At 39.7% G+C, this 27,033-nt stretch overlaps 1 protein-coding gene and 1 long non-coding RNA gene across 12 annotated transcripts in view, besides 4 other annotated features; one reads left to right on the top strand and one right to left on the bottom strand.

Annotated features, from left to right (window-relative positions):
• On the bottom strand, positions 2,407-4,854 carry LOC105373311 (uncharacterized). The gene has a single exon (NR_158569.1). It is a non-coding gene; the product is annotated as an uncharacterized LOC105373311 (long non-coding RNA).
• Positions 3,846-4,155: a silencer, noted in NCBI's record as "silent region_20936". NCBI's record gives its function as "represses an Ori minimal core promoter by ATAC-STARR-seq in GM12878 lymphoblastoid cells {active_cell/tissue: GM12878}" and the evidence as "EXISTENCE:reporter gene assay evidence [ECO:0000049][PMID:35858748]".
• The window catches only part of ACSL4 (acyl-CoA synthetase long chain family member 4), a 91,923-nt gene continuing 68,997 nt past the window's right edge, over positions 4,108-27,033 (top strand). For all 11 annotated transcript variants that reach the window (NM_001437252.1, NM_001437251.1, NM_001437247.1 and 8 more), the window contains exon 1: positions 4,108-4,226. The gene's annotated coding sequence lies outside the window, so the exon portion shown is untranslated. The remainder of the gene's footprint in view (positions 4,227-27,033) is intronic.
• Positions 4,253-4,373: a silencer, noted in NCBI's record as "fragment chrX:108976221-108976341 (GRCh37/hg19 assembly coordinates)". NCBI's record gives its function as "represses an EF-1alpha promoter that drives an FKBP-Casp9 reporter gene in an ReSE screen in HepG2 liver carcinoma cells {active_cell/tissue: HepG2}" and the evidence as "EXISTENCE:reporter gene assay evidence [ECO:0000049][PMID:32094911]".
• Positions 4,496-4,635: an enhancer, noted in NCBI's record as "active region_29848". NCBI's record gives its function as "activates an Ori minimal core promoter by ATAC-STARR-seq in GM12878 lymphoblastoid cells {active_cell/tissue: GM12878}" and the evidence as "EXISTENCE:reporter gene assay evidence [ECO:0000049][PMID:35858748]".
• Positions 4,696-4,745: an enhancer, noted in NCBI's record as "active region_29847". NCBI's record gives its function as "activates an Ori minimal core promoter by ATAC-STARR-seq in GM12878 lymphoblastoid cells {active_cell/tissue: GM12878}" and the evidence as "EXISTENCE:reporter gene assay evidence [ECO:0000049][PMID:35858748]".

Genomic DNA, 27,033 nt, shown 5'->3' with positions numbered 1-27,033 from the left:
TTATGGGGTTTGTCTATTTCATAGACGGCATTAGCAACAGGAATATTTGTAGGATTGATGGGAATGGAGATTAACTTGGAGGTCAGATAGTGACTTAGTGAATGAAGTGGCTGTAGACCACTTCTCAAGGAATTTGTCCTTAGTTGTAAAGAAAGTTACTGAATAGGAGAATCTGGAGAAAGATTGTTCTGGTTCTAGCTTCCTTTTTCTCATCTGTGAAATGAAGAGGTTGAACTTGGTGATTAATAGCCATCATTTTATACACACTTGCCATAAATCAGGAATTTTATAGGCATGATTTCATTTAATCCTCCCTCAGAAGAGTCTTATGAATGAGGTACCATTATTATCCCCAATTTACAGAAGAGGCTGAGGCTCAGGAAAATGTTATATAACTTGGTCTAGGGTGGTTGGCTTAAGTCCAAACCCATATGGTTTCCATCGTGCTACTCTGCATCTAAGTGGCTTCCCAGCACTAATAGTCGAAGATTTTGAGTAAGGGACATTTTAAAATTTTGTTATTTTACTGGTCTTTTAAGAATAGGACATATTGGAAGCTTTTTGTATGTTAAAGGGAAAGCATAATAAAAAGAGATTTAAGGCAAGTTATGAAATTGATGACCTATCTTTTTTTGTAATATTACTAGGCTAGAATCACTACAGAGAGTGGGCAAAAATATACCAAAGGCAACTTTCTTACAGATTCAATGACAACCACAATAGATTTTTCACATACTCATGGCCTTATGGATAATAAAAATATTTTGTTATTTTTGATTCTTTATGGGAAGGTCACACAAACAATTTCAAGGATAACTGTGGAGGATTTTATTTAGAGGGTGTTGTAGTTATCTTTAAAAAGGACAAATGAGTTTCATGAGAGAAACCGAAATTAAGTTCCATTAAAATCCTGCTGTGATTTTGATGTGGACCACACTGTCTTGACGGATTAATTTGGAAAAACTTGACTCCATGCAATACTGTGTCTTCCTATCTGGGTGCACTAGATGTCTATTTGTTTTGGTGTTTCCATTAATTTAAAAACCTGAAAAATGTGCCAGAATGAAAAGAAATAGTTATTTTGAAAAAACAAATCATTTCTCAAAAATAACATTTAGATGTAGCTACTATGCCTTTGATCATTTTTGAAAGGAGTGGCTTAGGTTATTATTTATGTTCACAGTGAGATGATCATCTACGTAGGTTTCTGATTTCACCGGTTGTTTAACACAAGCCACTAAAGACAATATTTGGCCTGGTTGTTGGGTCTGCAAAAAATAAGGTTTGTTAATGACAAAATCTAACACAACTTGTCAATGCAAATATTATTATGAAGCCCTGCTGCTTGTATTTAGACCACAGGAGAAAATTATTATTATTCTACAAACCCGTGAAGTTTAACACGCAAAGGCTTGTTACACAGTCAATGAAGAACAGTTGTTTTCTGCCCTTCCATAAATAACTAATGCCAAGAGCAGCCTGGCTATCTGTTTCAGCTTCTTGTTACAGAATAATAAAATAGGCAAGGCCTAAATATCAGTGCCTGTTAACAGAGCTGTCCTTTAAATTCTGTTTAGCTTCTAACAGACTAATTCTCATGCTTTTAGTACTTATTACATTGCATTTTGAATCTGTCAATTGCATTGTACATTTTCCTAACTCTTCCATTTCCATACGTTTATCTACTCCATTTCTAATTGGGTTGGTAGTTCTGGGTAGGACTCATTACAGAGGCAGCTTAATGTAGCGGCAAGCACCCTGGTCTAGGAGTCATAAGCAGTGTAGTAGGAAATTCAGGCTCTGTTACTACTTAGTTGTGTGACTGGACAAGACACTTAACCTGCATCTATTTCTTCATCTGTGAAATAGGGATAATAATACCCTATCTTCCTAACTAATAAACAACGTTGCAAATGTTCTCTTTAAAATGTCAGACAGCTGCTTGGGAAATATTTTGCTCCTGGGCAGTAATTTCTGGAAGGTTTCTGATGACAAGAAATTAAGCAAGGTTTGTTTTGACTCCGAAAAAGGAAAGCTGGAAATAGCGTGGTTATACTTGGTTTCCTTTTTGGAGGTATAGTTCTTCTTTCCTCTTCAACTTGGGTGCAGTTAAATGTGGAAGAAGGTGAGATGTGGTAGGTGATGAAGACAGCCAGAACTGTACACACTAATGAATAGCTTAAGTAATAAGAGATCTTGAAAATCCAAGTAGTTTCTTGGTCTGATAAACATATCTATATGTATATCATACACACATTTGTATACCAAAAAACGGATAGTTTCAGGCTATAGTGATTTCTTTCCTTTATATCTTGTAGAGCTGGAGGAACTTCAGTAAGCTGAAGACTCTGTTCAGAGGAAATTACCTAATTGAAAATGTCTGGGCTAAGAGACCGACAATAAAGGAAACTGGCAAAAGTACTCTTTAATTACAAGTTCTTTTTCATCTTCATCCAGCACACTGATTTATGTGCTACACTGGGTTTGTATTATATCTATATTTTAATTCCACAACTAGACACTAACTTTATTGAGAACAGCGATATTCATTTCTTCAATTTCATTTGTGTTAACCCAACTGTAGGTGATAGTGCTCTGTACATCATAGTTACCCAGTGAATTACGTACCTGACATATGATTGCTTATTTCTGGTATTAAAACAAGATTTCATAAAATAAACATGACAATTAAACTCGTTGTTTGAAGTACTGAACTTTGTAGGTCAATCTTGAAAAAGGAAGCTACATGACTGTCTTAGCAATATTTATAGGTATATTATATGTAAGTGGGTGGGTTTCTTGGAAATTGAATTGGTAATATGGCTTTAGAGTAGTAACACAAAAACTATAGCTCTGTGCTCTCAGCTAACCACTTTTAGTGTCACCTGGGCTGCTTATTAAAAATTCAAATTTCTTATCCCTACCCAGATCAGAATCAAAATACCTGGGGGTTGTAGCTCCAGGTACCTACATTTCAACAAGCACCCCAGATAATTGTGATGCACACTGAAGAACTACTCTAGCTTGTAATCTCAGGTGGTAAGGCATTTTATATATACATATATATATACACACACACAAGCACAAATGGTAATTCTATGGGAAAATGGAAATCAGCAAGTGAAGTGAAATGTCAATTACCATCAGGAACAGGAAGCTAGTTCACCATTACGCATCAGGGAACTGGAAGAATTCTTGAGATTTATTTTTTTGGGTGATATATTCTTGGCAGTTTATCAGGCCTCATTTGCAATTATGGTCTGTCCCTTTTGAAGCCCTCAGATAGTTCGCTGGCATTTTAATTTTAATAGCAATTTCTTGCATCTGTTGGAACAGCATTCGTATGACCGGCTTATAAGCAATGATCAGGGCTAGTAAGATGTCACAAAGCTGCGGTGACTTTTCCTTATCAGTTGGGGGTTTTTTTGCCATGATACCATCGTGGAAATGAAAGACAACGTGAAAATCCTGCGTCCTTGTGATATTTCATCAGTGGGAGTGAGCGGGGATCTTAACGCAGTAAGAGGCAAGATAAACGGATGAGAGGCATTAGTTCAGGCTTACAGGAGCAAGATGCTTTTAGTCAAAGTGTTCAAGATAGCTCTCTTAAAGAGGAGCAGTGAAACCCAAAAATGAGTGTCTTTTGAGGGCAGCTGGAAGATGACCCGAGGGGAACTTTTATCCTGGGGTGGAGTCCTGCGAAGCAAGCCGCAGGTGAGGGCGTGGGCCAATTCTGCGCCTCACTGCTGTTAGGCGCAAGGACATCCCGAAACACACTCAACGACACCAGCAGCGAGACTGACAGAAGCGGATCGCCAGCGGGAGCAACAACTTGAGGCGAGCCGTTAGCCGCCTCGCCTTCCTCGCAGCGCCCCTCCCGCGCCCCGGGAAGCCCGTTCGGCTCCGCCTTTTCGACTGACGTCCCGGGCGAGCGGGGGCGGGCGCGTGGGTGGGCCGAGCCGTCTGCAGCCAGCGATTCGGCTGGCTCTGCCACACCACCGCGCGCCCCCGCTCCGCCCGCCCCTCCGGGCGCGTCTTTTCCGGGCTCGCGCTGAGTCCCGCCTCCGCCGGCTGTCCGGGTGCGCGCGCGCCGCTGCGGCTTTTTCTCTGGCCTCCGCCGCGCGCTCCTCCTCGTCCCAGCGCTAGCGGGCACGCGGTTCCTTTTTGCGAGCTTTCCGAGTGCCAGGCGCCGGCCGGCTGCGAAGACGCGGTGGGCCGCCCCTCCGGTGAGTATCCCTGGATGGGGAGGTTGCGGCCCCGGCACCCCTGCCCTGTCGGTACCAGGGCCCCATTTCCAGAGGGGGACTGGCGTACCTCACCTGAGCCGGGAGGAGGTTGGGTGGGCATTCCAGCTCCTGGAGTCGGCTCGCTTTTTTCCTTGAGCCAGGGCTATCTATCCGCTCGCCTCCGCTGGGGCCGGGAAGATTCCCGAGGTCACTGTATCTGCTCCTGTGATGGACTCTGGGGTCCTCGGAACCCCAGCCTGCCTCTTCCTGCCGCTCACCGCATCCCGAGGGCCAGAAGTCATCTTCCTGATCGGGGTACTAGGCTTTGCCACGGCCCTTTCCGGAGGAGACCATGAAGTGCTTGCTAGACCTCCAAACGACCTTTAGGGTGCCCCTAAACCTCAACTCCATTTTGTCCCCTCCCAGTCGCTCTGTAACTGAGGGCTAGGGAGCCTCTCTAGCCCTAGAGGCATCCGCCCTCTCGAATTTGAGGGATGCCGTCGCTTCCGATATCTTCCTTGCTTCCGATATCTTCCTAGCTTCCGTAGGCTTAGGTTTGTTAGAAAACAGCTGGATCCTGGCGAAGCGTGCTTTCCTTCCTTCCCCCACCCCCGTTCTTTCTGTCTACATCCCTGCCTTCAGTGGGTGCTATATATTTAGTATGAGCTTTATTCACTTCCTCTTCCTCTCGTTTGAGTGCCTGAAAGAACTGTGGCTGATGTCTATAGACATAGAAAAATCTAGGAGAATATGATTCATTGTCTAACCCCATCAAGGGGTTACATATTTTAAATAAGACGTCATTTCTCCTCTTCACTCCAGCATCTCCTCCTTCAAAGGCATTTTTCACCCTCTTGAAATTAATACGCTCTATTCGCTCTTTTCACCTAAAAAAAGGTCAATCGTCGCTCTGAGAAACAACAGTGAGATGCAAAATAAGGGTAAAATGGCATTGAAATGAATCCCTTTGAAAAAGTAAGCGGTTTGCTTTATCAGTTAATGGTCTCATCAGCGCTTCAGTTTCCTCTTCTGCAAAAATCAGTCTGTTGAACTAGAGCATATCAAAGGTTCCTTCTAGTGTTTTGATTCTAGGACCTCTAAATTCATGCAGGCTGCATAATGCAAATTTAACCTGATTAAAGCCTTATTTCTCATAGTCGCTTGTCACCTTAGTTTTTCTTTTATTTTGTCTCTAACAAGAAAGACTTTTAAATGTTCTTGATACGTAAGGCAGCAGGTGGAGATTCAATGATGGTACTGCCATTGAGCATATCGGTCAAGATTTTAACAGTGTAAGGCCTCTTCCTTAAATTGTAAAATAGCTCATCTTTTGATTGAAACTGCTAAAGTGTAAGACATGTAAGACTCCTGTTAGAATTAACACTCTCTGCCATTTAGGTGGGGGATGAAACATTAAACTGTTAGTATACTTGTACCTTAGAATAAAGTACCTTATTGTCCTGCTATAAGAAATAATTTGACAACTAAAAATCCATGGAAGGTGTAATACAGCAATTGAAAGCTTGAGTAAATTCAATTTTGTGGGTTTTTTTTTTTTTTTGGAAAACCCCCTATTTAAAAACACAAGTGATTTAGATTAAGATATTTCTTTCAGTATTTTTGGTAGGGGTGAGATGGGTGAAGAAAGAAGAGTCTTGTTCAATTCAGACAAGAGAAATGAATTGGAACTCTGGAGAGGCTCAGGTTCTAGACCCAACTCTAGATATATATTTAACCTTGAACAAGTCACTTCACCTCTCTTAGTTTTTGCATCTGTAAAATAAGTGTCTTTATGGTTGTTGAAATGATCCACAAGTCCCCCAATTTGAATGATATATTCTTATAATGAATATATATGACAAATATATATATACACACGTGTATATATAGGTATACACACACACATATAATGCAATTTGCGTTAAGGCTGTTATAAATCCTGTTATACCAGTTGACTAGAATGTTTTTCTCAAAGGTTTGTGTATAGTGGTTTCAATTTAGGTATACTTAGTTCTTAATCCTGATTAAATAAATAATTATATGTGAAAATCTATAAACTCAGAAGCATTTTACAAATGTTGGGTATTATGTTAATTTCTGCTTGCAAGTGAAATGTGTGTTATACCGCACTATTTTTTAAATGTCCATGGCTTTTAGAAATTTATAAGGGAATGGCTGGGTGTGGTGGCTCACGCCTGTAATCCTAGCACTTTGGGAGGCCGAGGCCGGCGGATCATGAGGTCAGGAGATCGAGACCATCCTGGCTAATACGGTGGAACCCCGTCTCTACTAAAAATACAAAAAATTAGCCAGGCGTGGTGGTGGGTGACTGTAGTCCCAGCTACTTGGGAGGCTGAGGCAGAAGAATGGCGTGAACCCGGAAGGTGGAGCTTGCAGTGAGCCGAGATCGCGCCACCGCACTCACATACTGCCTTACAACTGTAATTGGCTAGGAACTTTAAAATAATATGTGGGCATCTCATTCATTTATTAATTCATTCAACTATCTTCTTCCTTCATCTGTCACGTATGTCAGGCCCTCAGGACATGATGGTTAAGACAAACCCTACTCTATGAGTTTATACTTTGGGCTGATGGAGATGGTTGGGGGGCATGTGGAGAGACAGATGTACATCCAGTTTATTTTTGTTAAAAACAACAACAGTCAAATCAAGGACAAACAAAATTCTGGAGAAGTTAAGTTTCCATAGGGGAGGAAGAGATGATTCTATTAATTGTAGCCTGTAGACTCTTTGACATTACCTTTTTCTCCATCCTTTCAATTGCTGAGCCTTTAGCAAAAATAAAAGCTTTGTTTTTCCACTTCTACCATTGGCTGGTCTTATATACTCTTTCTTTCCCTTTTAACTTTTTATTTTGAGATAGTTGTAGATTCACATATAGTTGTAAGAAATAATACGCTTTATCTAATTTCCCCCAATAATAGCCTCATGCATAAGTATAGTGTAACATCACAACTACAAAATTGAAATCGATGCAATCCATCAACCTTACTCAGATTTCGTCACCTTTAATGCAGTCATTTGCATGTATGTATTTAGTTCTACATAATGTTATCACGTGTAGATTTATATAAGCACTACCACAGTCAAGATACAGAACAATTGCATCACCACAAGGATCCTTTTTGTTGTCTTTTTATAGATGTAGCCATCTCCCTTCATCCCTGACTCCTGGCAACCACTGATCTGTTTTTCATGTCTATAATTTTGTCATTTCAAAAATGCTTATATAAATGAATCACACAGTATATAACCTTTGGAGACTGACTTTACTTCACTCAGCATAATTCCTTGGAGATTAGTGCAAGGAATATACCTTTTATCAATGGCTTGTTCCTTTCCATTGCTGAGTAGTATTCCATAATATGGATTTACTGCAGTTTGTTTAACCAGTCACCTCTTGAAGGGCATCTGATGTTTCCAGGGTTTTTGTTTGTTTTACTTATTTATTTATTTATTTATTGCCTATTTTGAATAAAGCTCATATGAACAGTTGTCCACAGGATTTTGTGTGAACATAAATTTCTGAAATGCCTGAGAGTGTACTTCTTGGGTGGTATAGCACTTGCATGTTTAGTTTTCTAAGGAACTGCCAAACCATTTTCCAGAGTGGCTGTACCATTTTACATTCCCACCAGGAATGTGTGAATGCTCCTCATCCTTGACAGCATTTGGTGCTGTTACTATTTTTTATTTTAGCCATTCTCATAGGTGTGTAGTAATATATCCTCCTAGTTTTAATTTGCATTTTTCTGATCGCCAATGATGTTGATCATTTTTCCATGTGTTTATTTGCCATTCTCTGTATCTTCAGTGAAATATCAGTTCATGTCTTTTGTCCATTTTCTATTTGGATTTTTTTTTTAACCTGGTGAGTTTTAAGAGTTTTTTATTATTTTTTTGAGACGGAGTCTCGCTCTGTTGCCCAGGCTGGAGTGCAGTGGTGCAATCTCACTGCAAGCTCTGCCTCCCAGATTCACGCCATTCTCCTGCCTCAGCCTCCCAAGTATCTGGGACTACAGGCACCCGCCACCACACCTGGCTAATTTTTTTTTTTTTTTGTATTTTTAGTAGAGACAGGGTTTCACCGTGTTAGCCAGGGTGGTCTCGATCTCCTGACCTCATGATCCACCCGCCTCGGCCTCCCAAAGTGCTGGGATTACAGGCGTGAGCCACCGCCCCTGGCCTTTTTATTCTTAATACTAATCATTTGTCAGGTAGTGGTATGAAAATATGTTCTCCCAGTCTGTAGCTTGTCTTTCCAACCTCTTCACAGGGAATTTCACAGAGCAAAAGGCTTTAATTTGGATGAGGTCCAGTTTATTAATTTTTCCTCTATGGACTGTGCTTTTGGTGTCAAGAAATCTTACAAACTTTTGTTATTTAATTTGATTCCTTTCTGTTCTGTATAACATCCATTATTTCTGTAAGCTATTTGAGCATTTTCTCTTTCAACAATTTTAGAGCTCAAATATATTCTGTGAACAAGTGGCCTTAATGGCTTAGAATGTTAATACATATTCACACATGCTCTCACTATATTAAAATGGCTGCCTTAAAAATATAATGTCTACCTCACCAGGCTGTCAAATGCAACATTAAAATTTGTATTTTAAAATTAAATAGACGCATGATATGCTAAAGAGGTTTTTGGTTTCACTTTCTAAATTAAAAATATTTTGGCAAAACTGTATCATTTTCCATCAAGGATTTTGGTAAGTAATCCAAAAAACAAATTTGTGTTCTTATTTAAATGTACTTTGAAAGTCTACTTCTGCATTTTGAGTAGTGAAGTTATGATTCATGACCATGTATTTAGCAGACTTTTCTACTCACTGTTGATTATGAGAATAATGAATAAAAGATCATTGTATTTGACTGTCTAGACTGCATTTTTCCTTTTATAGCAGCTACATGACACTCATTGTAACTGTCTTTTGAAATAAATATTAGGTTCAAGGTGATGTTTACAGTTTTATATTTTGAAAAATGTATGTGCTCATATGAGAAGGAATTATAGGAAAAGGTTAGTGATTAATTTTGAGAATATTCATTTCTGTAAGGCAGTACTGAAATTATTTGTCCCTTCAGTGTTACTATATTTACTCAAATATGTGTGCAGTGAGGGAAGTAGATTGTTATTTGAAAAAGATAAAACATTGGTATAAGGCAGGGGCTGGCAAAATACTGCCTGTGGCCAAATCCTGCCCACCACCGGTTTTTGTAAATAAACTTCTCTTGGAATATAGCCACATCCATTAATTTATGTGTTTTCTGGCCGCATTCACAATACAACATCAGAGCTGAAACAGAGCCCTTATGTCCCGTGAAGCCAATTTTCTCTCTGGACCTTTACAGAAAAAGTGCTGACCCCAGAGATAAGGTAACCTTATAAATTGTTGATTACACACACACACACACACACACACACACACACACACACACACACACACACACAATTTAACAAACTACCCTGACTTTTTATACCTTCTGGTTACATTTCCAGGTGATATTGTGATTCAGGAGAGTGCATTCATTTTCTTTACTAAGTCTCCAAAGCACTGTGGTCTAGGAGCAGCAATAAGGAATGCATAGAGAGTTGAGACGGTTGATTTTGTTGTTAAGTGTGGGTTATTTAAATGTGAATGTGAATTTACATGTGTGGCAATCAGTAAGCTGCAGATAGACTTCTATGCAGTCTATGATGTCTTTTGGAGACCCTGTTGTGAGCTGTAGCGGTAATAAGAGAGCCAGGCATGGTAGTGTTTTTGCTCCTGAAACTGCTATGTGATCTTTAAGTACATAGTAGTAAGAGCCTATCAAACTGAGCTTAGACTGTTGGTTTATTATTTTGTTTGTACAACTTCCTTTTTTATAACGAAGCAGTTGACACTTTAGTTCTTTTAAGTGTTCTAAGTGTAATGTTGAAAATGGAAATTGAGTAAAGACAGGTGGCTGTGTATTTAGAAAGTAATAAGTCTCCATCTCTCATCATACACAAAAATAACTTAAGAATATATTTTAAAAATCTAAGTATATATTTTAAAAAATCTTCTGGAAAGTGTAAGACATCATAACCCAGTTAAAAAGACAAGTGATGGCCGGGCACTGCAGCTCACGCCTATAATCCCAGCACTTTGGGAGGCCAAGGTGGGAAGATTGCTTGAGCCCAGGAGTTTGAGACCAGCCTGGACAACATAGTGAGACCCTGTCTCTAAAAAAAAAACAAAAAAAACAAAACAACAACAACAACAACAAAAAACAACAAAAAAAGCCAGGCATGGTGGCATGTGCCTGTAGTCTTTGCTACTCCAGAGGCTGAAGTGGGAGGATCCCTTGAGCCTGGGAGGTCGAGGCTGCAGAGAGCTATGATTGCACCACTGCACTCTGGCCTGGGTGATAGAGCGAGACCCTGTCTCAAAAAATAAATAAATAAAATAAATAAAAATGAAAAAGCTTCTACATATGCATTAGAAGCTTTAATTGACCTCCACTTAATTGACTCACCACATTGAATAATTTTTATTTCCTTTGTAAAATACAGTGTACACTGAATACTTGGTATTAGTTGGTTGATCTCCAGTACTCCAGCGTGCTTGTTTACCTACCAGTACAGTAAATTTTTTTACTACTAAACCTGTATATGTTGGTTGTATTTGTTTTTTTGTTTGTTGGTTGGTTTGTTTGTTTTTGAGATGGAGTTTTGCTCTTGTTGCCCAGGCTGGAGTGCAATGGTGCAATCTCGGCTCACTGCAACCTCTGCCTCCTGGGTTCAAGCAATTCTCCTGCCTTAGCCTCCCGAGTAGCTGGGATTATAGGTGCCCACCACCATGCCTGGCTAATTTTTTTTGTATTTTTAGTAGAGACGGGGTTTTGCCATGTTGGCCAGGCTGGTCTTGAACTCCTGACCTCAGGTGATCCACTTGCCTCAGCCTCCCAGAATGCTGGGATTACAGGCGTGAGCCACCGTGCTAAGCCTGCTTGTATTTGTTTTTAAAAGGTAATTTGTTTAATATGTTGTAACCTGACAATATATGAGTGGGGGAGATTGGAGTTCTTTTTACTGAAAATTTACAAATGAAATAATATGATGTCTGGGATTTGCTTAACATTATACAAGGGGTGAGGGATGGAGGTGGGTTGTGGGTAGTATGGAAGAAACACAATTCAGCACATATGAATAACTGTTGAAGCTGGGTGATGGTTACATTAGATTCATTATGATGAAACAAATTGTTTTGAGAAGAGTTAATGAAAACAAGTTGCAAAAAAAAATACTGTCCGCTTAAATGTGGGTAAGATGACTATACAAGATACGTGGAAAAAATATAAAAATCTAAAAGAGTTTTATTTTATTTTATTTTATTTTATTTTTTGAGATGGAGTCTCGCTCTTTTGCCCAGGCTGGAGTGCAGTGGCGTGATCTCGGCTCACTGTAAGCTCCACCTCCCGGGTTCACGCCATTCTCCTGACTACAGGCGCCCTCCACCACACCTGGCTAATTTTTTTGTATTTTTAGTAGAGACAGGGTTTCACCGTGTTAGCCAGGATGGTCTCGATCTCCTGACCTCGTGATCCGCCCGCCTTGGCCTCCCAGAGTGCTGGGGTTATAGGTGTGAGCCACCGCACCAGCCATCTAAAAGGGTTTTATACTCACATTACTTGTCAAATGTAAAATCAATGGGCCTGGAGTTAGAGAAAAAGGTCTTGGCCTCTTGGCCCCATATAGAAAGTTTGAGGCTGGCATGGTGGCTCATGCTTGTAATCCCAACATTTTAGGGGGCCAAAGCAGGAGGATTGCTTGAAGCCAGTTCAAGACCAGCCTGAGCAACATAGCAAGACCCTGTCTCAAAAAAAAAAAAAAAAAATAGCTGGGTGTGGTGGCACACACCTGTAGTCCCCAGTCACTCAGGAGGCTGAGACAGGAGGATTGCTTGAGGCCAGGAGTTCAAGGTTGCAGTGAGTCATGATCACACCACTGCATTCCAACCTGGGAGACAGAGTGAGATCCTGTCTTTAAATAAAAAAACAAAACAAAACAAAAACAAAAAAAACCCCAGGTCAGGTACAGTGCGTCATGCCTGTAATCCCAGCACTTTGGAAGGCCAAGGCAGGCAGATCTCTTGAGGCCAGGAGTTTGAGACCAGCCTGGGCAACATGGTGAAACCCCATCTCTACAGAAAATTTTTATTATTATTATTATTGAGACGGAATCTCGCTCTGTCGCCCAGGCTGGAGTGCAGTGGCATGATCTCGGCTCACTACAACCTCCGTCTCACAGATTCAAGCGATTCTTCTGCCTCAGCCACCCGAGTAGCTGGGATTACAGGTGCCCACCACCACACCCGGCTAATTTTTGTATTTTTAGTAGAGATGAGGTTTCGCCATGTTGGCCAGGCTGGTCTCAAACTCCTGACCTCAAGTGATCTGCCTGCCTCAGCTTCCCAAAGTGCTGAGACTACAGGCGTGAGCCACCACGCCTAGCCCAAAAAATACAAAAATTTAGTTGGGCATGGTGCCATGTGCCTATGGTTCCAACTACTGGGGAAGCTGAGGTGGGAGGATTGCTTGAGCCCAGTAGGTGGAGGTTGTAGTGAACTATGATCACTCACGTCATTGCATTCCACCCTGGGTGACAGAGTGAGACCTTGTCTCAAAAAAACAAAAACAAAAATTAGCCAGGCATGGTGATGCACAACTGTAGTCCCAGATACTTGGGAGGCTGTGGCAGGAGGATAGCTTGTGCCCGGGAGGCAGAGGTTGCAGCGATCCAAGGTCACTCCACTGCATTCCAGCCTGGGCATCAGAGCAAAACCCTGTCTCAGAAACAAACAAAAAAACAAAAAAGCCCCCCAAAAATAAATAAACCAAAACCACACACACACAAAGTTTGTTGAATGAGTATATATATACCACTGATGAAAGGAAGGTGAAATGTTTGCCATACATATTTTTATGATCGTTTACCTGAAATTAACCTTTTAAATTACATAACCAATTGTTCTAAATCACATTAGATAAAAGGGTTTCTACTGCATAATATCCATAATATATAAAGAGCTCCTAAAGATCAATAAGAGAAAGGTACCCACTACAAAAAGCAAAAAGTGGCAGAAGATTATACATGGGCATTTCCCAGGAAAAGAAGTACTGGTGAATAAAAAAGAAAAGATGTTCAAATTGACTCTGGTTATTAGGGAAATGTAAACCGTTTTTCACCAGACAGATTGGCAAGAACTTAATATCCACTTTTAACAAATAGGCATTTGCATACACTGTTAATGAGAGTTCACATGTATAACTCTTTGCTGAAGAATACCAAAATCATCTCATTTTTAAATGTGCATACATTTTGACCCAATAGTTTTATTAGAAAACAATTCTAGGGAAATATTACATGTGTATAAAACTATGTATAAGGTTTCGCTGCAGTGAAACTGTTTGTAACTGTGAAAATTTGGCAGTATCCTAAATATCCATCAGTAGGGAATGATTTAAATAATGGTAAGTTATACTGTGGAATACCATTGAGTTATTAAATAAAAAAAGAAGAAAAGCCTCTTGGTTAGACATATATATACACTGACATAGGAGTTCCAAAGTATGCTGTTAAGCAGGGGAAGAGAGGGGGAGGGAGTCAAAGAACAGTTGTATACCATAATTCCACTTATCTAAAAATAAACCCTTATCATGTGTATGGGTAATACAAAACAATCTGATTGATACACATCAAGAGTAATTATCCCTAGAGGAAAAGAGAGTGGTGTTAGAGGAGGGCAGTATAGTTTTACTTTTTCTCTGTACAATTCTATATTATATATTATAATTTACAATTACAATTTTGATAGTAGGTATGCAGATTACTATTATAGCAAAATACAATTACTATTTTGATAGTAGGTATGCAGATTACTAATATTAAACATTTGCACACTGGAGGATGCTTATAATAGGATTCCTTCATTCTACAACAACACTCTACTGTAAATGTAATTAATGCCTTGTACTGAACACTCAGGTTTTTAAAAAAATGATGTTTTCTGCTATCGATGAAGTATTGGTATTTTCTAAATTTTTGACACCAAAAATATAAGTATAAAAAAGAATAAAAACAGTAATTTCATACCCAGAAACATCCATTGTCAACTTTTTGGTATATATGCTTGTGCTTATATGTATGGACACTTGCATGCACATGTGCACACATATATCACCTTTCTACAAAAATGGGTTTTTACTGTACATACTGATTTGTAACTTGCTTGTTTAACTCGACACTATATTGTGAGCATCTTGCAGCATCAGTAACTCCGAGTAAGTGAAAAAGACATCTGGTGGGAAAAGGCCAACATCGTGCCATGTAAATACAGTGTTTTAGTTAAAATAACTGGTTTCTAGGACAAACCAGAATTAAAAAAAAAAAAAAGTCATGGTCACCAAAGTAAATAACCAAGGAATTTTAAAGTCTTTAATGTTGAGTCAGTTCAGTTCTGTTTTGAATTTAACTATGAACATGTTATTTACAGTGTAGTTATCAATGATGATGTAAAAGTGCAATATATTAAAATATCATTAGGAAGCTTTTTTTGGGTGGAGTTTGATTTTAGCGAAGAATTAAACACTGAACCTGAATGGTTATTTTTGTTCAAAGAAAAACCAACTGCTGTGGCTAGTTTTTGGTAGAGGTGTGTGTAGTTGTATTCTTTTGCAACTTATAAAAGTAAAGAAAATCTAGGTATCTGTGGCAACATAACCTTTTTCTATGATATCTCAGTTTGTAGTTTATCAAATTGATTATTAGGAGAACTGTGTCAGAGAATTAAGTTTGATTTGGGCAAGTATGTGTGTATGCTACTTTCTCTTGTCATCTAGAAGTATTTGTTAAACAAATTTGCTGAAGACCCATTATAATTTCCTCTGGGTTTATGCTGTAGGACTTAGAGGTGAAAATATCTTACTTTTGTTGAAGGGTTTTTGTTACTTACTATTTTCCATGAATTCAACAGTGCATTTTACAAAACAAGATTCTACCTGGTAGACAATGGTGTTAATGTGAAGGCCCAACATAGCTATACTCAGGTTTTTATTATGATGATTGAAACAGTGTCCCTATTCTCCAAAGCCATTTAGGCCTTTTTGGAATTGATTTCACAGTACAGAGGATTTTAGGTGCTATCAAGTTAGCAGATTTTAAAGGGAATCAGGATAGAGTTTCTCTATTTCTCACTTAGTTAATGAGAGGGCATGTGAGATTGAACTTTTACAGAGGCATTGAAAATGTTAATGGTGGATTCTTGTGGTAGTTATGAGGTTAATGGAGTGGGGAGGTATGGTGAAATAACTGTTTCTTCTTTTTTCTTTTCTTTTCTTTTTTGTTTTTTTTTTTGACGGAGTCTTACTCTGTCACCCAGGCTGGAGTGCAGTGGCAGGATCTCGCCTCACTGCAACCTCTGCCTCCCAGGTTCAAGCGATTCTCCTGCCTCAGCCTCCCGAGTAGCTGGAACTACAGGCATGCACTACCACGCCTGGCTAATTTTTGTATTTTTAGTAGAGATGGGGTTTCACCATGTTGGCCCGGCTGGTCTCGAACTTCTGACCTCAGGTGATCCGCCTGCCTTGGTCTCCCAGAGTGCTGGGATTATAGGCATGAGCCACCACGCCTGGCCCCTGTTTTTTCTTAGGTATTCTGTTTTATTACCTTTAATGTGGACTTTAAGTATTTTAATACTATAAATAATGATAGGGTTTTGTACGACCAACTCTCCTGGGGAATACCTGAATGATGTTTTATCAAAGAAAACCTGGAGAAATAGGCAGAGCTGCCCTGCTAAGATGGTGAAAATTCACTGTGCTTCAGGATATGTTAGTAATTTCTGCTTTCCAGATGAACTGAAAACTGAAAACTCCCTCAGTCAGGAGACAGGAACTTGGTGAATGAGCATAAAATTCAGTCATGGTTTTGAGAAGAAAAAGAAGAACTAGCACTAATACCACATGGGATGAATCCAAGTAAAAGATCTATGTTCCACATGACGACTGAAAGTTGAGAAGCAGCTTCAAAGAACAGTTGAAAAATCACAACTTTACTGAAGGGTAGAACTCGGCAGAAATAGCTGTAGCAATTGTTAGATGAATATGTTTCAGACAAACAGAGCAGAAAAGAGAAGAGAAGGCCTAGGATAATGATATTTCTTCACCTGGAACCATGGAAACTTTCCCGATTTGGTCAACAGTCAATTGCAAGGTTAGTCTAGGACGGTTTAAAGTCTTTAGTGGAATATTTCGGGTTCAGAAAGTGTCAGCAAGCAAAGCAAAGACCCATTTTGGAAGGCATTGGGGTCCCTTCTGTACCTAGACAATTCCTTATAGGAGTAGGTTAGAATTTCTGTGAAGCAAGTTGTTTTTCTATAACCTGGAAACTACAAAAGGCAGGGCTCAGGCACACTGTATTGGTGAATTATAGCAACCTGTAGATGGGAAGCTGTGTAGTTTTTTTATTTCTTCAAGTAGAAATGTGAGTATTAGCACATTCATTCAAATAGAGTTACATGTTATAAATTTTTAAGCAAAATAACTGACCTAAGTATGTTATACAGCTCAAATTTCCCCCCAGAAAATTTTGGACTGTTTTACTAAGATTTTAGTTTTTAGTGTCAAGTATTAAGGCCAGGATTTTTATGTGGAAGCAGGTTTTTAAAAATTTATATACACATTGACTTAATTTTAACATCCTCTTGATCATCAAGAGATTAAGTATTTAAATGTTTGTAGGAAAGTAGCTTTTTTTTTTTTGAGTCTCGCTCTGTTGCCTAGGCTGGAGTGCAGTGGCGTGATCTCGGCTCACTGCAATCTCTGCCTCCTGGGTTCAAGTGATTCTCCTGCCTCAGCCTCCCGAGTAGCTGGGATTACAGGCCTGTGCCACCACGCCCAGCTAATTTTTGTATTTTTAGTAGAATTACTAAAAATTACTAAAATTACATGTTGGCCAGGCTGGTCACAAACTCCTGACCTCAAGTGATCTACCTGCCTTGGCCTTCCAAAGTGCTGGGATTACAAGCCTGTGCCACCATGCCTGGCCAGGAAACTAGCTTTTTTGTTTTTGTTTGTTTGTTTGTTTTTTGTGAGATGGAGTTTTGCTCTTGTTGCCCAGGCTGGAGTGCAATGGCACGATCTCAGCTCATCTCAACCTCCGCCTCCCGGGTTCAAGCGATTCTCTTGCCTCAGCCTCCTTAGTAGCTGGGATTACAGGCATGAGCCGTCATGCCTGGCTAATTTTCTATTTTTAGTAGAGACAGGGTTTCTCCATGTTGGTCAGGCTGGTCTCGAACTCCCGAACTCCCGACCTCAGGTGATCCACCCACGTCAGCCTCCCAAAGTGCTGGGATTACAGGCGTGAGCCACCACGCCCGGCGGAAAGTAGCTTTTTAAAGGAAACATTCCCCCAAAGAATTGACTTCATTATAGGTGGTATCCCTTAAAATACAGACTGTTTCAGAAGAGGCAGCAGCAGAATGAAAACTTTCATGGTGAATTCCCCACCTTCTATTTTATTCCTGTTTTGAAATGGAGTTCCCCAACATCACCATTACAGCTCAGCCATATCTTTGCATTTCTTTGTGGACTTAGTTAGAACTGAATGATTGATGATTTTCAGCGCGAGGAGTACAAAATAGGGGAGTTGATACTTGCATCAGCCCTGCTAGCTGCCTTGAATCCTAGCTCAGTAGGGGTCACTCTTAAGCTGCCATAGGCATAACAACTTCTACATAGGTGGCACTTCTGGCACTTTGGAGAACATTCTAGTGGTGGGATAGTTCCCTAACCCCTGTCTTATCTCTGTGGTACCCTGCATCTATGCCATTTTTGTTTGGTTACATAAAATGTTTCTGTGGAGTGATTGGCCTATGATTGCATTGATAACATTTAGTAAAACAGAAGATTTGTTCCTAACACGTTTTACAGAGCTGATCTTTTTATTGAAAAATCCCTAACCCTAAAGACCACAGTTTTTTGTTTGTTTATTTTGTTTGTTAGCCTCATAGGGATAAAGTGCTTCCTTATAATCTTGTTTCCAATTGTCTTCAACTGAGGAAGAGGAAGTCTGTTGACTGTCTCCCTGCACCCCCTCTGATTGAAGGATCACCTTGCTTAGGGCACTGCCAGCTTAAAAGTGGAGGTGGATGCCATACTAGGACATTACCAAAGATGAGGAGGAGTGGCAGTGAACTTAGAGTCTATAGCCAGAGTGTACATTGAATTTTAAAAACCAATAATCTGAGATCTAGTCTGTACTTAAGAGACATATTTAAACAACAAATTGTAGACTATGGGATTTCTTTTCTTTCTTTTTTTTTTTTTTTTTTTCTTGAGACAGGGTTTCACTTCTTTCACCCAAGTGCAATGGTGTGACCTCGGCTCACTGCAACCTCCACCTTCTGGGCTCAAGCAATCCTCCCACATAAGCATCCTAAGTACTGGGACCACAAGCTCATGCCACCATGCCCAGTTAATTTTTGTATTTTTTGTAGAGACAGGGTTTTGCCATGTTGCTCAGGCAGGTCTCCAACTTGTGAGCTCAAGCAGTTTGCCTGCCTCAGTCTCCCAAAATGTTGGGATTACATGAGTAAGCCACTGCGCCTGGCTGACTATGGGATTTCTTAAGCTAAGTAGTATATTGAAAAGTCTGCAGTGTTTCATTTGATGATCAGTCTCCAGTGAAAATCTGCAAAATTGAGTCAAAACTGAATTTGTCTTTCAAAGTTGGGATTATTGTTATATAACACTTTCATGGTACTTAATGACTTCAGTGAGATGTAAGTAACACATTTTGAAGCAGCTCACTTCGGTTGAAAGAATTATTTTTCAACCTGGAGTTGATTTCTTCAATTTCGCATCATTCCTAGCAAATTGTAACATTAAGGTCATATTATTTGTCCAGTCTTTTCTAAATGCTGTAACGTTTTGTCATGAAATCATGGGAAAATGTTACTTTTGCATTGTGAGGAGTGAGTAGGAATTTGTTTAGGACAGAAAACCAAATCTTAGAATTGTGGACTTTGCTTATGACTTCTACCTCTTTAGTTAAAATCAAAGTTGCGCAGTTACCTGTTTGAGTTGCATAAAACAGTTCTGTGGGATGATCCTCTCAACCATGGTTATCCAGCCTTTTGGCTTCCCTGGACCATGTTGGAAGAAGAATTGTCTTGGGCTACACATAAAATATGCTAACACTAATGATAACTCATGAGCTTAAAAAAAAAAATTAAAGGTGTATACATAATTTTCACGATATCTACCACCAGAGATAAGCAAAAATGTCCTCGCATTCAAAGGGTTGGACACGGCTGTGAGTATAAACTATTGGAAATTGTGTTGAGTTTGATTTTTGGCCAGGGTTAGGGCCATGTCCTGCTATTGCCAGACCATTTTTTTCCCTTGCTCTTACCGGCACTGCCCCATTGCTGCAGAAAGACCAGGATGCTGTCTGGGCTTGGCACAAGGCTCTGAACCTCAATGTCATTCCCTTCTACTTTCAGGCATTAGCAGCCCTGAAAACCATAAGATGGGGCTGTTAAAAGCATTTTGAAATTAATCTTTTCTTGTTCTTTTTTTTTGTTTTGAGATGGAGTTTTGTTCTTGTCACCCAGGCTGGAGTGCAATGGCGCTATCTGGGCTCACTGCAACCTCCATCTCCTGAGTTCAAGCAATTCTCCTGCCTCAGCCTCCCTAGTAGGTGGGATTACAGGTGCCCGCCACCTTGCCCAGGTAATTTTTTGTATTTTTAGTAGAGACGGGGTTTCACCATGTTGGTCAGGTTGGTCTTGAACTACTGACCTTAGGTGATCCGTCCGCCTCGGCCTCCCAAAGTGCTGAGATTACAGGTGTGAGCCAATCTTTTCTTATTCTTAAAAAAAAATCAGGCTTGTAAGACGCGGTCACATAGCCATCAATCAGAGTTAAAGATGTATGGTAAGAGAGAACAGGTTTGTTTTCAAAACTGTCCTCTGTGTTGGCCTTAGTTTTGCCTTTGATGAAAAAGCAAACTACCCTCTTATATTTTATTGCTATTCATATTGGTTGCAGATGCTTCAAGGAGGATTGAATTACTGCCTAGTTTAAAGGTGATATATCTTAAATAATCATAGAAATAGCTGCAAAAGGATATCTTAAAGGTACATTACATTGCAGATGCAACAGAAGCTAAATGCATTAGGGATACATGGGCAATATCTACTAGTAGGAAATATCAGCACTGTTAGGATTACAGCCATTTTCTTGGCTGACCTTTGTATGGGGATACATAACTCTCCTTCCTTAAATAGTATTTCATTGAGATGGGAAAAAAGACTCCTGCTCTGCTTGGGCTTTTTTAGTGCTCTGGCCCTTCTCTTTAAATCTGTTGTTAAGAGTTCTTGTTTTGGCACTATGCAAAAGTGCCTTATACTGAGGCATTTTAAGTACTTAAACAATGAAACCTCCGTTGGCTGTGTTCCACAGTGGAACTAACCCATTCCAAACTTTACACTTGCTGGAGTATTATAACCAGACAGCAGTGTTGTTTGTAACAGCTGGCTAGTCTGTAGATGAAATTGATCAAGATGTTTTAGTTTCTCAGTTGGTGCCTTTCAACTCTGCATTTTTCTTCCTCTATTCTTTCAGAACCTCACTTTCATCCTTTGGCTTTGCATACTTTTCCTTGCCCCAATATTTGAAGGAAGTTTTTAATAACATTCATTTTCAAAGCAAGCCAGGTGATACTTAAGTAGTAACAGGTATAACTGGTTAATTCCAGAGGGTAACTATTATTTTTAACTTTTAAAAAGCATATAATTGTCAGGTTGGGCAATTATTATAGGGTTGAGGATTGCCTCATGTGTGACCTTCCTTTCCTATTCTACCTACATGTCTAGTTCTCTGTGTTAGTCTTCTGTCCACTTAAAATATCAATTGAACAGTAAGCTCCACAAAGGCAGGGCATAGTATATACTTACTGAGTATTTCTTGAACAAATGCACGCACATGTACCTGTAATTACCCAGGGTTTGGGAAACTAGATTTTAAAAAATATTTTGAAGGGAAAGGGTTGTTACTGGCTATACTTAACTTTTAATTTTCTCCCTCCTTAAATCAACATGTTATTCTTCAGCAATGATGTTTACAAAACCAAATAAAATTAGAATTAACCATTTGTTTCCCACTTCAGTGAGTCCGTACCCAGTGGGGTGATGTCACTGTCATATTTAGGAGAGGCCAGATGATATAATTGCCTTTATAACTTTCTGTTACAATTTAAAAGAGCACAGTGACTTACTACCAGAAAAGCTTTGTACCATCATATTCTTGTTTATATGTAGGGACCACTTAACCAAGTGGATACTTTTGTTTAGATTTTTAAAAGTTTTAGTTTCATGTCTTCTAAACTTTAAAAATATCATCTTATTATATGATTTATTGTTTTGATCTCTCTCTATATATATATATAATTTTATTTTTTTGAGATGCAGTCGGAGTGCAGTGGCATGATCTCAGCTCACTGCAACCTCTGCCTCCTGGGTTCAAGCGATCCTCCTGCCTCAGCCTCCCAAGTATCTGGGATTACAGGTGTACACAACCATGCCTGGCTAATTTTTGTATTTTTTTGTAGAGACAGGGTTTCGCCTTCTTGACCAGGCTGGTCTCAAACTCCTGACCTCAGGCGATCCTCCCACCTCAGCCTCCCAAAATGCTGGGATTACAAGCATGAGCCACTGTGCCTGGCCTGTTTTATGATTTTAAATTACAGAAAATTTGTTTAAGATAGTTCAGAGGTCCTGTGTAATGTGCCCCCAGCTTCCCCTAATGTTAACATTTTATATAACACTAGTGTGATACTATTAACTAAACTAAGGAATTTATTTGGATTTCCCTTGTTTTTCTACCAAAATCTTTTTCTTTGGTTTCAGAATTCAAAATTATTATACATGTTTATTTTAGAAAACGTATGTATATAAAAACATAAAACAAAATACGGTGATCTTCCTACCCAGAGACAACTACTGATATTTTTAGTATATATCCCTCATTCCTGGTCTCGAACTCCTGAGCTCAAGGGATCCCCCCTACCTCAGCCTCCCAAAGTGCTAGGATTAGAGGCATGAGCCACTGCACCTCTTGCTTTTTTTATACTTAATATTAGCATTTACTTCTTTTGTGAACCTCTTGCCATGTTTGCTGTTTTTAATACATGTAGTTACATAGTCATAGGTTGCTTAATGACAGGGACATGTTCTGAGAAATGGGTTGTTAGGCAATTTCATCATTGTGAACATTATAGAGTGTACTTACAGAAACCTAGATGGTATAGCCAACTATGCACCAAGACTGTATGGTACAGCCTATTGCTCTTAGGCTACAAACCTGTACAGCATGTGACTGTATTGAATACTGTAGGCAGTTGTAACACAGTGCTCAGTATTTATGTATCTAAATATATCTAAACATAGAAAAGGTACTGTAAAAAAAAACGGTATAAAAGATGATAAAATGGTTCAGCTATATAGGGTGCTTACCATAAATGGAGCTTGCAGGACTGGAAGTTGCTCTGGGTGAGTCAGTGAATGAGTGGTGACTGACTGTGAATGCCTAAGACATTACTGTACACCACTGTCCACTTTATAAATACTGTACACTTATGCTACACTAAATTTATGAAAATATTTTTATTCAGTAATAAATTAACCTTAGCTTACTATAACCTTTTTAGTTTACAAACTTTTAAATTTTTTTGACTTTTTGATTCTTTTATAACATTTAGCTTAAAACAAACACACTGTACAGCTGTACAAAAATATTTTTTCTTTATGTCCTTATTCTAAAAGCTTTTTTATATTTTTAAAATTGATTTTTTTCTCTTTAAACTTCTGTGTTAAAACTAAGACACAGTCTCAAAACAAAAACAAAAACAAAAAACTAAGACACAATCACAAACATTAGCCGAGGCCTACAAAGGGTCAGGATCATCAGTATCGCTGTCTTTCACCTCCACATCTTGTCCCACTGGAAGGTCTTTAAGGTCAGTAACATGCATGCAGTTGTCATCTCCTATAAGAGTGTCTTCTTCTGGAATACCTCCTAAAGGACCTGCCTGAGGTGCTTCTTGAGAAGGTGTCATTCTTTTTAGAAATATTGATATGTCCATGGTGGTTTGCTAGTATTCTTGAATAATGTGCCCTGCTGTGACTTCACTAGTCTACAGGAATTTTTCATCTCCATTATATTCTTATGGGACGACTGTATATGCAGTCCGTCATTGACTGAAATGTTATGTGGTTCATGACTGTAGTTTATTCCCTATTTTTAGATATTTTGTTGTTTCCATCTCTTTGCTCAGTTAATTCTTCATGATTTTAAGTAAAAGGCCAACTGTGTGTGTCTTCTCAATCTTTTCCCCCCTAACAAATGAGAAATATGACACTCTTATCATTACAGTGGCTCAATAAGCCAGTGATTCTAAATGTATGTATATTATGTTGAACGACTTGAAATTGCCTTTTTTTTTTGTCTGTAGCAAATTTTTTACTATTGGCAATTTTATGTGGTTCAACCTAATAGCTTGAAAAAGATTTCTAGGTTATTCTGACCACCCTGCACCCCTGTCCCATCTCTCACTTCCCTGAGAATCTGCATTTAGAATAGTGAGCTGTTTCTGAAGCCTTTGGACTAAGCAACAATGTTGACAAACTTACCTTCCAGGAGTCTCTGATAAGCACAACATCCTGAAGACATATCCTTGTGTTGATGACATATGCAGAGAACTTTAACTATAGTGACTTGCATCTGTGTGTCAGTACGGTAGAGATAGACTTCTGAGTTTTCACCTAAGCTCTGCAAGAGAGCCTGATGGTCCTCTATCCTGGTTCCATATCTGTAGTGACTAGCTAAGGACAGTGGTGCCACCCAGTGGCACGTTATAGACAAGCTGCTGATGTTGCTTTAGCACTCTTCACTGCATCAAATTCTTTCCTTTCCCATCCCTTTCCCTTCCCCTTCCCTTCTTCCCTTCTTCCCTTCATCCCTCCTTCCCTCCCTTCCTTCCTCTCTCCCTTTCTTCCCTTCTCTCTTCTCTCCTCCTTCCCTCCCTCCCTTCTTCCTTTCTTTTTGTTTTCTTTCTTTTCTCAGGGTCTCACTCTGTCGCCCAGGCTGGAGTGCAGTGGCGTAATCTCAGCTCACTGCACCCTCCACCTCCCAGGCTCAAGCGATCCTCCCACCTCAGCCTCTGGAGTAGCTGAGACTACAGTCGTGTGCCACCACGGCCTGCAAATTTTTGTACAGACAAGGTTTCCCCATGTTGCCCAGGCTGGTCTGAAACCCCTGGGCTCACATGATCCGCCCACCTCAACCTCTTTAGTAGCTGGGACTACAGGCACATGCCATGGCAGCTGGCTTTCTTTTTCTTTCTTGCATACTCTTCCACATTCATGGTCTCATTTTCCTTTTATTTTCCCCACCTATGCCACTGGCACTTACGAGCTTCATTTCGGCCAGCTGATAATATTCAGGGACACTAGCCATATAATTTTGCTGTGATACCCTTATTTTAATAAAGCTTTGGAATATAGGATGTGAAATAGTAAGTGTAAACACACTGAACACACTGTCACTTACTCTGCTTATGAAGTCGTGGTTCTTACCCAGAATTGGCATCAAGTTTGTACTTGGTCAGAATATGGCACTTCTTGGCCAGGCATGGTGGCTTACCTCTGTAATCCCAGCACTTTGGGAGGCAGAGGTGGGAGGGTCGCTTGAGCCCAGAAGTTTTGAGACCAGCCTGGGCAAGATGGTGAGACCCTGTCTCTACAAAATTTTTAAAAATGAACCAGGCATGATGGCGAGTGCCTGTAGGCCCAGCTACTCAGGAGGCTGAGGTGGGAAGCTTGCTTGATCCCAGGAATTTGAGGCTGCAGTGAGCTGCGATTGTGCCACTGTGCTACAGCCTGGGCAACAGAGCAGGACCCCATCTCTTAAAAAAATGCCACTTCTCCTGTTCAATGATGAGACTCCTAATATATGAGAGGAGGCCCTCCTATGTATTTCAAATGTGGAGAGGCATATACTTCTACTCAGATTGAAAGATTTATCTTGGAAATCCTTTTTTGGTTTCCTTTCTACATAATATGACTTCTTATTTCATTCCAACTTAATTCCAAAAATATTTATCCAGCACCTACTGTGAACCAGTACTGTGCTAGGCCCCAGGTATTACAGTAGTTATCAAGACAGACATGACCTCTGCCTCTAAGGAGCTTAGAGCCTAGCAGGGGAACAGGAACTTAGACAAATTTAAGTGCTGTCCCGTAGGGTACTTTGAGGTCAAATAGCAGAGGCACTTCACGTAACATAGGAGGTCAAGGAAGGCTTTCTACACATTTCATTTAAATGAAGACCTAAAGGGAAGCAAGAAAAGGCAGAAGAGAATGTTACTGGCAAAGGGAAAAGCATGTGCTAGAAGCAAGCAGAGATGAGAGATTAAGCTTGATGCTTTTGAGAAATTAAAAGAGGTTCAAGTTCGTAATGGCTACAGCTGTGAGATCAACTCTTTTAAGTCTCATGACAGTACCTGTAACTAATAATATTATCCCCTCCATTTTTATGGTTGTGGCAAATGAGGAAAAGATGTTAAATATTTTGCCCTAGGTCATCCATCTCTAGTAAGTGGCACAGCCAGGGATTGAACCCAGGTCATCTGGCTGTAGCATATTGGCTCCTAACTACCATACTGGATTGCCTCTCAGCTGGGGCATAGTCTTCCTTAGTAAATGGAATGGTCTGTGTCTGGTACTACCTACCATAAAAAGAGCTGGAGCTTATAGGATCTGGATTAGTTTAGAAATACAGGTTTGCTTTAGTCTTTTATTCTTGATTGGGAATGAAATGCTTCATTTGATATGCAACTCTGAGGCTATTGACACATATTTTCCAAAAAACCATAGATGGGAAATTATAACTGGTTACATGTTTATTACAAAAATAAAATTGGTGTGAAATATGTATTTCCTGCAAGGCTAGGGTTTTTGTTTGATTGTTAAAGTTAACTTGGCAATATCCTTTTCTCTGATTTTTAAAGTTAGGCTGAGTGCAGTGGCTCATGCCTGTAATCCCAACCCTTTGGGCAACCAAGGCCGGAGGATCACTTGAGCCCAGAAGTTTAATACCAGCCTGGTTAAGATAGTGAGATGCTTACTCTACAAAAATAAAAAAATAAGTTAGCTGGATGCAGTGGTGAGTTTCTAAGTCCTAGTTATAGGAGGCTAAGGCAGGAGGATCCCCTGAGCCCAGAAGTTCAAGGCAGCAGTGAGCTATGATTGTGCCACTGTACTCCAGCCTGGGTGACAAAGCAAGACCCCATCTCTCAACAAAAAAAATTAAAAATTAAAAAATAAAATTAGTTAAAGGGTGAACATAACTTATTAAATAGGACTATACTTTTTTAAAGTCACAAATCAAATACCTATACACGGAGATATTTTCTTACAATGCATCTGATTTATCCTATATCTGTTTAAGATACAAGTGTGTTTTTTGTGAGATGAGAAATTGACTTCAGTTTGAAGTCATCAGTTAAGGTGTTAATCTAGATTCTAGAAATTGGATTATAAATGTTGCACATAAACTAAGATTGTAGTAATTTGATATCATTGAAAAACACTTGGAATAAAGAGTCTTGTGTGTTTGTGTGATTAATGGTGTGCAGCTGGTGCTTTCATTTACTTGCCCGTCGTATATGACTGTGGATTCAAACAGGAGTT

The sequence above is a fragment of the Homo sapiens genome, chromosome X (assembly GCF_000001405.40).
Source record: "Homo sapiens chromosome X, GRCh38.p14 Primary Assembly".
Classification (NCBI taxonomy): Eukaryota; Metazoa; Chordata; class Mammalia; order Primates; family Hominidae; genus Homo; species Homo sapiens.
This window is presented reverse-complemented; position numbering and strand designations above follow the sequence as displayed.